Source organism: Homo sapiens, chromosome 6 (genome assembly GCF_000001405.40).
Source record: "Homo sapiens chromosome 6, GRCh38.p14 Primary Assembly".
NCBI lineage: Eukaryota > Metazoa > Chordata > Mammalia > Primates > Hominidae > Homo > Homo sapiens.
Genome location: NC_000006.12, coordinates 160545146 through 160558020, shown reverse-complemented (window position 1 = coordinate 160558020; position 12875 = coordinate 160545146). Strand labels below are relative to the sequence as shown.

The window sequence follows — 12875 nt, the reverse complement described above, 5'->3', positions numbered from 1 at the left end:
TTGAACCCAGGAGGCAGACCTTGCAGTGAGCCGAGATTGCGCCACTGCACTCCAGTCTGGGCGACAGAGCGAGACTCCGTCACAAAAAAAAAAAAAAATCTAAAATGCACTCTTCAAAATCTATGTCATTTATTCTGGAGGAATGCAGTTGGCAGAAGGAGGAAGATATTCCGAATTTTTCTTGTATACATTTATGTATGATCTCAGTTTTTTTATGGATCATAGACCAATTTTGATATTTTAAAATAAAAATTATAATCTATCTTGGAAATTTACATGGTTCTTTAGAACTTGAGGACCGTTTTTGCTTTTCGGAATATTATTGTACCTAAAATGGGAATATTACAACGTCACTTTTTAACACTTTGTTATAACAAAGTTTAGACAGCGCTGGGTGCCCCTGAATTTTTTCCCGCCTCTTGTGACCTGTGTTGTTTTGGAATTTGCAGTGGCCTGACCGAGAACTACTGCAGGAATCCAGATTCTGGGAAACAACCCTGGTGTTACACAACCGATCCGTGTGTGAGGTGGGAGTACTGCAATCTGACACAATGCTCAGAAACAGAATCAGGTGTCCTAGAGACTCCCACTGTTGTTCCAGTTCCAAGCATGGAGGCTCATTCTGAAGCAGGTAAGAAGTCTGTGGCCAGATATCTACACATTTGAACATTGGGATGAAAAGAGATGGAAAATCTGACTGATGCAGAAGCCTTCCATGCTACACAGAAACTTGAGGGTATGGCAGGTGGAAAGAAGCCTCAGCACTCTCTCTGGTGGAGCAATTTTTGGCGCAACGTGCGTGGGCGGTGACTTCAGGAATGGTGCAAACCCACCTGGGCACTTGACTTACCACTCACTTTGTTATGAAAGGGGTTATCTCGGTGTTCCAGACAAAATTCCAATTCTAACATCAGGCCAAATTTGTGCCAAATTTCACACTAGTGAGTGTTTCCAGGCATTTATTAAAATGGACAGTGTTCATTGCAATCTTCAGCATTGCAGTTGCTGAGGTATGTGGCCGCTGAGTTTGTCATCCTGGGGAAACCTAATATGATGATATTTATTCCATCTAATCCTGGGGCTATTTGGCAGTAAATACCACAGAATACACTATTTCTCTGGCTTATTTCAGTCTTAGGTAGGCTCTGCACACCTATGCTTGGAAGGCAGGAATTTCTTGGTGTTCTTGTGCCTTCTTCTCATGGAACGTGCATCTTTGGTGTGTGTTGAGAGGAAGGGTAGTAGACTTCTGCTTTGTTGCAATGCAGGATGCTGGAACAAGAGGATTCCCTGTCTCTACTGTAAGGGAATAAGATTTTAGCCTCCATCCTTCTCTAAGAAGCAATGTGTCTTTGCCTCCAAGTACTAGATGCAGGACCATGAACTGCCCCGTCCACCAGAAGCTTAAGGCTTTGGCTTTTCAGGAGCAATCATCTAGGGAACTGTGCAGGGTTTTCATGTCTGTCCCCTACTGACAGCCAATCACCATACAGCCTGCATAACCTAATCCATCATCGTCTGGTTTCCTGCCTCATTGTTTTCATGAACAACCAGTAGAGAGCCATACGAAAGAGCTTGCACATGAGTCTTTGTTCCAATTGTAAGAGCACTGATAGGTCCTTTTCCCACCAGGTTTTGAATATAAAATTTCTAAGAACTTATTAAAATATTAGAATGTTATTAATCTATTGTTTTTGCTTCAGCATGTCCTTCTGCTTGTGAGTATACTAAAGAGAACAGTCATAATTCTGAAACTACTGTCCTGTTTGTGTCATAAATTGCTTCACATGTTTCTGCATACTAGTAGTTACTCAGCTTGATTTTGTCTATTTTCAGCACCAACTGAGCAAACCCCTGTGGTCCGGCAGTGCTACCATGGTAATGGCCAGAGTTATCGAGGCACATTCTCCACCACTGTCACAGGAAGGACATGTCAATCTTGGTCATCCATGACACCACACCGGCATCAGAGGACCCCAGAAAACTACCCAAATGAGTATGTCTTTGATGTTACTTGTAAGAGGAGCAACAGCCAACTTAAGTTCCTCCTAGAAGAGCCTTGCTTCAAGCTAACTTGTTAGGACAAATTTCCCTTAGACCCAGAAGGTGTGTCAAAATGTCCAGACAACTTTGCTTTTGATCAAAGAGTCTGAGAGAATAGGTATTTTAGGCTTGCTATCTTTTCTAATAGTCTGATGGAAGCAGAAGGCTACATGGAGCTGATGAGGTCTTTTTAATATAAAGCTCAAGAGATCAAATGATCAAATACTTAGAGTGCCATTCTACAAGGCTCATAAAAGATCAATGCACTCTTTCACCCATGCAATTCTATCATTCTAACCTCCCTTCTCTGAAATGAAGGCTTTTTGCCATTTTTGTCATGGGTCACAAGTAAATAATTCACATGTATATGAGTATATATATAACCAGGTGTGTTTATTCAGACTAGTATGTATATATATACATATATATGTTCATATAAGTTAGTATTCATATATATGTTCATATATATATGTTCATACAGACTAGTATTCATATATATATACATATATATATACACACACATATATATATATATATATATGTTCTAGGGAAACATGCAAGGTTTTTATGTCTGTCCCTGACTGATGACCAAATACCCTATAGCCTGCACAGCTGCAAGCTGTATAGCCATACAATTTGCAGGACACACACACATACACACACACACACACACACACACACACTAACATATAATATAATATAATATAATATAATATAATATAATATAATATAATATAATTAATATATATAAACCTGTGTGAACACACTGGGTTCTAAGCTCCAGTTTTCTGAAGGGATATGGGTTGCCAGGAGAGGAAGAGCAAAAGCAAGAATGTAGATGAGAATTAGGAAGTAAACAGATATGGAGATTAAAATGGGCAGGTACATGGACAAAAAACCAGGTCTGACAAAAACTGGCTTTCTGCCATAAATGACTATAAAAGATATTAAAAAACACTTTCCACATGTTGGACAAGAGACAGTACAGGACTGAGATAATTTAGAAAAGGAAATGAATGAGCGCAACTCCGTAACTATTATGACTTTCTTCCTGGAGAACCTTCCTGGACTGAAGGGCAAGGAATTGGAGCCAAAGCCAACCACAGCAGTCTTGCTGAACTGAGGAAAGAGACTGGAGTTTGGGATAGCTAAGAAAATGTGTATTTTCTATGCTAGGTAATAATGAGAAAGAATTTGTGGTGAAAAGGAGCTGAAGGAATATGCATGGAAGTCTAATATAAACTGCATATGCACAGGGAGAAATTCTACAAAGTGGGACAGAGAACCACTACTGGGGAAAGGACAAATTCAGGGAAACAGTGAGCTCAATGGTGACGCCAGAGCTCACGTAGCACTGGGGGATACCGGGGTTCTGATCAGCCCGAGGAGAGACACCTCATTGAACATCTCGGGCATTCAGTAGAGACCCCAGAAAAGTCATACTTTAGGAGTAGGATTTATGCCTTCTTAGAATAAAGACTACCCCAGAAACACCCTAGTAAAGCTTAAAAACCAAGTCTAAAAGGACCCAAATGATCTCCAAGTAAATTAACTGCCTGACAGAAGAAAACTCAACCATCACTGGAGGTAAATAACATGATTACAGTGCTCTGTAATGTTGCATTCACAAGGAGTGACATCATTTAAAAATTTATGAGGCAGGAAAAAGCAATTAGTGTGATCCATAACTAGGAGAAAAACCAGTCAATACAAATAGACCAAGAAATAGTAGAAACGATGGAATTGACAAAGAAATTAAAACTGTATATATGATAATTGTGTTCAAAGATTTAAAGAAAACATGAACATGAGGGAAACAAATGCAGAATATAAAAAAAAGCAAATGCGTAAAACAACCAAATGGAAATTAAAGAACTACAAAAAAGTATAACCTTAATAAAATACTCACTGGATGGCCTTAATATTAGTTTATACATTACAGAAGAAAAAGTGAACCAGAAGATAACTCAATGAAAGCCATACAATCTGTAAGACACACACACACGCACACGCGCGCGCGCGCACACACACACACACACAGAGAGAGAGAGAGAGAGAAAGAGAGAGAGAGAAAGGCTGAAAAAAATAAATAGAACCTTAAGGATATCAGTGAAAATAGCAAAAGATTTAATATATGGGTAAAGCAAGTCACAGAAGGACGGGAAGGAGATATTGGGACAGAAAAAAATACTCAAAGCAATGATGGCTGAAGACTTTACACGTATGAAGAAAATGATAAACTCACAGTCAAGAAGCTCAATGAATCAGAAATAGTATTTTTAAAAGCAAAACTCTATGATTTACTTGGGTACATTATAGATAAATCGTCCAACATCAAAGATAACAAGGATAATCTTATAAGCCAGAGGAAAACAATATCATTTACATAGAGGGACAGTAATGAAAGTGACCGATGCCTTCTCCTTGGAAACAATGGCATAACATCTTTAAAGTGATAAAGAGAAATAAAAACAGATCAACCTAGGACGACATGTCCAGCCAAAACAAACAAATAAACAAAAAAACCCTTTAAAATAAACGTGATGTAAATACGTATTCTGCCACCTCCAGAGGAAACAAGCAAAAAAACAAAAGAATGTTTCCAAGGCAGGCTTCTGTATTAAAAGATTTTAAGGAAAGTTATTCAGGTAGAAGAAAAATAATACCAGATGGGAACTTTAATCCATACTAAGTAATGAAGAGCCCTGGAAATGGCAAATGGCAATGTCAATATAAAATACTCTTATTTATCTAATTTTTAAATGTATTTAAAGGACAATTTGTGATATTAATTAAAATAATAGGAATATATTGTTGTTTCAACGTATGTAGTAGTAAAATTCATAAAAACAGTAGCACAAATAATGCAGATGATAACTGGAAGTATACTGTTAATGAGTTTTTTGCATTATCCATGAAGTTATATAATATTAATAGATGGTTGAATGTGATAGTTTAAGGTGGGATATTATAAATCCTAGGACAACCAAAAAAATTTAAACTGAGAGGAATGGATAGTAAGAGGAATAGTCCTTTTATGCAAAAGAAGGAAGAAAAAGAGGAATAAAGAATATAAAAGATATGGTGTAAACAGAAAATACATAGCATTATTGTAGACACAAACTGAACTACCTTATGAGTATATTAAATATAAAAGGATTAAGCATTACAAATAAAAGGCAGAGATTGTAAATTGAATAAAAACCACAGCTAAGTGTGTTCTTTTTAGAATAAATACTCTTTAAGTGTAAAGATCTACTTTAAACACCAAAATATGAAAAAGGATATATACCATGAAAACCTGAATCATAAATAAGCTGGAGTGGTGATTAATGGATGCAGGCACTCCTAAAGACTAATAAGTGAATGTGGTCAAATTGAAGAAACAAAAGTATATACGTGCTCAATGTGCAAAAACTTTTTCTGTATACATGCTATGATCCTTTGGAAAATTAAAGTTTTAAAGCAATATCACTGACAATAGTATCAAAACCAAAAAATATTTAGTGATAAATTTCACACACTATGCTCAAGGACTATACACCTTGCACTAGAAAACAATGTTGAGGAAAGAATTAAAAGATCTAAATATACACCATGCTTATAGATTAAAAGACTCCATATCAGTTCTCGTGAAATTGATCTTTGGATGAAACCCACACCCAAGCACTATTGCAACAGTCCTTTTTTGGAAAAAAAAATTGGAGGACTTATATACCTTAATATAAAGACTTATAAAAGTACAGGAATCAAGACATGTGGTATTGGCCTGGCCCCTTGGCTCATGCCTGTTACCCCAACATTTTGGGAGGCTGAGTCTGGAGGATGGCTTGAGCCCAGATGTTCAAGACCAGCCTTAGCAACAGAGTGAGACCCTCTCTCTACAAAAAATAAACAATTAGATCGATGTGATGACTTGCACATGTAGTTTCAGCTACTCGGAATGCTGAGGTGAGAGGATTGCTTGACTCAGGAGGTCTAGCCATGAGTGAGCATTGATCATGCCTCTGCATTCCAGCCTGGATGATGGAATGAGACACTGTCTCAAAAAAAAAAAAAAAAAAGGATATGTGTTATTGGCCAAAAAAGTATGCAAACCTAAAAAGGGATGGCCCACCACCAGACCCACATACATATATGGTAAATGGATTTTCCGTATAGATGGCAAAGCAATTCAATGGAGACAAAAATGTTTTACAAAATCATTCTGAACCATTTGGATATCCATGATACAAAACAAAAGCAGAACTTGACTTTTGCTTTTCATCTCAAATTATTTTGATATCTCTTCCACCTAAGTGTCAGAGCTAAAACTGAACCTGAAATATGAAAGTTCCATGAAAAAATATAAAATCTTCACAACCTTGGAGAAGGCAAACTTTTTTGAGGCAGGAGTCTGTAAACACTCACTATAAAATAAAACAAATTATAATGTGGGCTTTCATGAAAACTCATGCTTACCAAAAGTCATTGTTAAGAAAATAAATAGGCAAGTAACACATGAGAAGAAAAATGCTCTCTGTCCATATATCTGACAAATGGCTTGTGTCCAGAATATAGGAACATTTCTCCCACTCACTAAACAGAGGACAAACAACTAATGGGCAACAGATTGAATAGGCATTTCTTGGGGATAGATAGATGTACACATAGCCAATAAGCACCTGAAAAAATGTCCAGTATCTCAGCCATGAAAAATAAAGAGTTATAATCATCATGAGATGTCACCAAACACCCAATGGACATGGATATTATTAAGAAGACACCACAGTAACTGATGTCACTGATGTAGAGCAAGGATGTGAAACTCTCTCATATGCTGGTGAAAGTGCAAAATGATACAACCACTTTTGAAATCAGTCTGATAGTTTCTCCAAAAGTTCAATAAATGCACTTTTACCCTACAAACCTGCAATCCTGTTTGTGAATATTTACCCCACAGAAATGGAAACATAAGTCCACGAAGACATCTCCAAGAATATTCATAGCAGCTTTATTTTTTATAACCCCAAACTGTAGACAATTTCAATGTCAATCAATAAGAAAATGAATAAATAATTTGTGAACTAGTCATACAATGGCATACTGTTCAGCAATAAAAGGGAGCATGTTTTTGATACTCTCAAATAGTATGGAAGATGCTCAAAAATATTACATTAAAGAAAGATGCCAGATAACAAAAATGAACATTATGTATGAGTCTATTGATGTAAGGTTCCAGAAAGGTAAAACTAATTTCTGGTGAAAGAAACCAATATCATTTGCCTCTGGCCATGGGAAGAGAGTAGCAGAGATTGATTGAGCAGTAAAACGAAGTTTTTTTCTGGGGTGATGTAAATGTCCTGTATTGTGATTGAAGTGTGAGTTACACAAGTGTACATGTTCATCAGAAGTCATCAAACTACATCTAAGATCTGTGCATTTGACTATACATGAAAATATACCTCAGTTGAAAATAGATCAATAACCTCCCTCATATACTATACTTGCTAACACAGCCAGCTGCTTGGAGAACCAGCTTGCTGGAATGGAGAATCTGGGCTTGAGACTGGGTCACATGTATAGAGTCTCTACAGAGACAATGTTGCATTCCCACGGTACATAATACATTTCAAGGTTTCTCAGACAGCCACATGTCATGAATGTGAGGATTCTGAGAGGTTGGAGCAACATTCCTGGGAGGAACGAAGGGGAGCACATTCTCCAAGATCCCCCACCACCGGGGTCCTCACCGGCTGTGCTTTTTTTTTTTTTTTTCTTGACAGAGTCTCGCTCTGTCGCCAGGCAGGAGTGTAATGGCCCAATCTCGGCTGATTGCAGCCTCCAACTCCAGGGTTCAAGAGATTCTCCTGCCTCAGCTTCATGAGTAGCTGGGACTACAGATGTGCGCCACTGCGCCCAGCTAATTTTTGTATTTTTAGTAGAGACGGGGTTTTGCCATGTTGGCCAAGATGGTCTCGCTCTGTTGACCTCGTGATCCACCCGCCTTGGCTTCCCAAAGTGCTGGGATTACAGGCGTGAGCCAAAGCACCCAGCCTGTGCCTCTCACTTACTCAATTGTTTTTCTGAACCCTCCATAGCTGGTGGACCTTTTCAGATCCCATAGTCTAGCCAGCCCTCTCACTTTATGCCTTGGGTCCCACTGTTCCTTCATCTCATCCCCCTTCTGTCAGTCCCGCAGTGGCTGTGGCCAGTAGAGGATGGACTGAGAGTAGGAGAGGAGGTTCTGCCCAGGAACCCATCCTAGAGAAACAGCATCCTGCCTGGGACCTAGTCTTCCAGGTCAGCTTTTATAAGTCTTTTAGACTCAAACTCACTTGACCCACCTGAAGTGGTATTGACAATAATGCTATTTTCATGGTTGTTTTTCACTGTAAATGCAGAGCCTTTTAGCTACACGACTAGTACAGAGAGTAAGGGAGGCTGGCCTGGGAATGATATCATCTTGGATGGCATTTCCTCCTTGGAGAAATATATGTTAGTTCCAACTCACATGTTACTATACAGTCCTGTAGAAAGAGATACAGAGAGTTAGACAGGTATAGACGCATTTGTATATGCATAACAATCTATAAGACACACATCAAAATCCGTATACCGGTTCCTCTAGGGGTATGTGCTTGGCAGAAGGTAGAAGGAGGGTATTCTGGTTCCTTTCTTTTGCACATTTATGTATGATCTCAGTTTTTATATGGAGCATTGATAGGGTTTGGCTATGTCCCCACCCAAAATCTCATCTTGACTTGTAATCTCTATAATCCTGATAATCCCCATGTGTCAAGGGCAGGACCAGGTGGAGGTAACTGGATCATGGGGGCAGTTTCTCCCAGGCTGTTCTCATGACAGTGAGAGAGTCTCCTGAGATCTGATGGTTTTGTAAGTGTCTGGCATTTCCCCTACTTGCACTTACTCTGTCCTGCCGCCTGTGAAGAAGGTGCCTGTTTCTCCCTTGCCTTCTGCCATGACTGTAAATTTCCAGAGGCCTCCCCAGCAATGTGGAACTGTGAGTCAATTAAAACTCTTTTCTTTGTAACTTACCCAGTCTGTCTCGGGTATTTCCTCATAGCAATGTGAGAACGGGCTAATACAAGCATATACTACTTTTGATATTTTAAAATAAAAATTATCATCTATCTTTGAAAGGCATGCACAAATGGGAAGTTGAGGAACATTTGTGTTGTGGCAATTGTATGATACCTTTAATGGGAATATTTCAAAGACACTTGTTAAGACTTTGTTAGAACAAAATGTAGAGGGTGCTGGATGTCCCTGAATATTCTTCCGCCTCCTGTAACTTGTATTGCTTTGGAATTTCCAGTGGCCTGACAATGAACTACTGCAGGAATCCAGATGCCGATACAGGCCCTTGGTGTTTTACCATGGACCCCAGCATCAGGTGGGAGTACTGCAACCTGACGCGATGCTCAGACACAGAAGGGACTGTGGTCGCTCCTCCGACTGTCATCCAGGTTCCAAGCCTAGGGCCTCCTTCTGAACAAGGTAAGAAGTCTGTGTCTTACCTTGTCTAGCACATACCTCTCTATGTGCTTGGACAACGGGATGAAAAGACATGAAAAACCACACTGATGCAGAAGCCTTTAGTGCTACACGGGAGCTCGAGTGTTGGTTGAGGTTCTGCCATGACCAAGGAAGTCTCAGTGCCGTCCCTGGGAAAGCCAGAGCTGTGATTTTTGGCACAACTTGTGGGAGTAGTGACTTTAGGACTGGCGCAAAACCTCCAGGGTGCTCAACTTAACCACTCACCTTATTCTAAAATGGGTTATTTCAGTGTCCCAGTCAAATTCCTATTCTAACATGCTGTCAACTGTGTGATTATTTCCAAGCCAATAAGCATTTCCAGTAATTTCTTAAAATAGTGTTCATTGCAGTCTTCAGCGTTGTGGCTCCTGAGGGATGTGGCCCCTGATTCTGTCGTCCTAGAGAAGCCTGACATGACTGCATTGATTCTGTATCGTCCTGGGTCTATGTGGCTGCCTGGCTGTCTGTAATCATCTGTTTTATTTTTATTTTTTTCTACAGACTGTATGTTTGGGAATGGGAAAGGATACCGGGGCAAGAAGGCAACCACTGTTACTGGGACGCCATGCCAGGAATGGGCTGCCCAGGAGCCCCATAGACACAGCACGTTCATTCCAGGGACAAATAAATGGGCAGGTCTGGAAAAAAATGTAAGCCACTTTGATTTGGACTCTTTTTCCCTTTGCTGACAAATCTTTTCAAACAGAAGAGGGGCAGAGGAAAATACTGGAAAGACTTCAGGAGGCTAAGCGTAATTAGCCTTAGCATGGAAAGTGCAAGCAGCACAGGCCAGCAAAGCCCCACGCGTGTGGGGGTTCTCAGGCCTCTTCTCTTTTGACATTTCTTTACTGTTTCCATTGTTGGGTGCTGTTTCTCGTTTCTAGTGCTTGTCCTCTAAGCCAGGGGTCCCCACTCCAGTACTGGTACTGGTACTGGTACTGGAACTGGTAATTATCTGTGGCCTGTTAGGAACTGGGCTGCACAGCAGGAGGTGAGCTTCGGGGGAGCAAACAAAGCTTCATCTGTATTTTCTGCTGCTTCCCATCACTCTCATAGCTGCCTGAGCTCTGCCAGCTGTCAGATCAGAGGCAGCATTAGATTATCATAGCACAAACCCTATTGTGAACTGCACATGTGAGGAATCTAGATTGCATGCTCCTTATGAGAATCTAATGCCTGATGATCTGTCATGCTTCCATCACCCCCAGATGGGACCACCTACTTGCAGGAAAATTAGCTCAGGGCTCCCACTGATTTTACCTTATGGTGAGATGCACATTTATTTCATTATATATTACAATGTAATAATAATTGAAATAAAGTGCACGATAAATGGAAGGTACTTGAGTCATCCTTTAACCATCGCCCCCTCACCCCAGGTGCACAGAAAAATTGCCTTTTATGAAACTGGTCTCTGGTGCCAAAAAAGTTGGGGAACCACACTGCTCTGGGTTCTAGTAGTCAGAGATGCCCTCTATGAGGCTTAAGTCAGATTTTTCTAGAAAAGATTTGGATGGGCCATCAGGTCACCATGAGACTTCCCTTAGCCTCATGCATTCTCTGTGATGGTTTACTTTGGGGCCTATGAATAGGGAAGACTGAGATATAGGAAAAACCAAAGTGTCTGTGTTCCCCCACTCTCACACCCATGTAACATAACACTTCTCACACCAGATATGGGGGGATTTCTCCTCACACCCCAAGCGAGTCTCCAGCAGATACCAGCTGGGTGTCCTACAATGTAACTCGGTCCTGACACTCTATCTGGAGACAGTGTCAGATCCCACAAGTTAAGGCTCAGTCCTACAAGACTGCCCCACTGCAGATGCCAATCCCAAGTTGCAGGCTGTGACCTGTACTTCTGCCCAGCTGGATAAAGATCTGTTTTTCTATATGACCCTCCATGGGTTTGATTACTTTGCTAGAGTGGCTCACAGAACTCAGGGAAACACGTTACTTTTATTTACCCATTTATTATAAAAGATATTAAAAAGGATCCTGGTGAACAGCCAGGTGGAAGAGATGCACAGGGCAAGGCACGTGGGAAGGGGCTCAGAGCCTCTATGCCCTCTCCAGTGCACCAGTCCCCAGTACCCTAAGTGTTCAGCAACCCAGAAGCTCTCCAAGTGCAGTCTTGTTGGGTTTTTATGGAGGCTTCATTACAGAGGCACAGTTGATTACATCATTGGCCATCGGTGATCGGCTCACCTTCGGCCCCTCTTCCCTCCCTGGAGGTTGGAGGGTGGGGCTGAACAGTTCCAACCCTCAAGTCACATGGTTGGTTCCCTTGGCAACCAGCCCCTGGGGCTATCCAGGAACCCACCAAGAGTTGCTTCATTGCAGCTCCCTTCACCCAGGAAACTCCAAGGGATTTAGGAGCTCTGTGTTAAGAACTGGGGGGCAGAGACCCAATATACATTTCTTATTCTATCACAATATCACAGGAAGCTAAGGATGATACTGCCTTTGTGTGTCTTGGCTGTGGATGGTGCATAATGCATGGAAGTAAGCATTTCTGAATCAACAGCAAACAGGCTTTATCAGGTAGAAGACCCCTCAGCGCCCCAGGGACAAAGCTCATCAATGATGTCCCACTGTCCTCTGAGGCTCTAGCTCTAAGACCTCCAGTGGGTCAAGCTCCTGGAGAAGTGGCACATTCTCCAAAGACCCTTCAGGGTCACCACACCCTGGTTAAGGGTGTGGCCTCATAACTCCTTTTGACTATGACTGATGGCTTACAGCATAGAAAGAAATAACTTTGTCAAAAAATATAATAATGATAGAAAGGAAGAAGGAACGCTCCCTTTTGTCTTCTAAGAATAGATGTGAAATGTGTGTGCCTTAGAATATCTTCTCCCTCTCCTGCTCCACGTGAGCTGGAGCTTACATGCCTGCTTGTTTTCAGTACTGCCGTAACCCTGATGGTGACATCAATGGTCCCTGGTGCTACACAATGAATCCAAGAAAACTTTTTGACTACTGTGATATCCCTCTCTGTGGTAAGTTGCCTTCTGTTTTGGTAAGGAAACTGCTTCCTTAATATGGATTTGGAAAAAAAAAAGCAAAAAAAACAGAAAATGGCTTTTGAGCTGAGTGCTTCTGGGGAGGAGATGGCTGCCCTCTCCACCAGAGCCTGCTTTTCATCATGGCCACCTTGAACCTGCCCTACTATTGGCCCCATTTGTTAGGAAAACACCCGCCCCTCCCACCACACACACATAAATAAAATAAATGTCAAATTCCCAAAGGGCAAACTTAGAGGTGATCTAATCAGCCCGGGATAGTCCCACCGA

At 40.9% G+C, this 12875-nt stretch overlaps 1 protein-coding gene across 1 annotated transcript in view; it reads left to right on the top strand.

Annotated features, from left to right (window-relative positions):
- LPA (lipoprotein(a)) overlaps positions 1–12875 on the top strand; it is a 132794-nt gene that overhangs the window by 106255 nt on the left and 13664 nt on the right. Inside the window, exons 29-33 of the mRNA NM_005577.4 lie at positions 450–631; positions 1837–1996; positions 9362–9543; positions 10084–10232; positions 12488–12581. Coding sequence (NP_005568.2) covers positions 450–631; positions 1837–1996; positions 9362–9543; positions 10084–10232; positions 12488–12581 — 767 coding nt within the window. The remainder of the gene's footprint in view (positions 1–449; positions 632–1836; positions 1997–9361; positions 9544–10083; positions 10233–12487; positions 12582–12875) is intronic.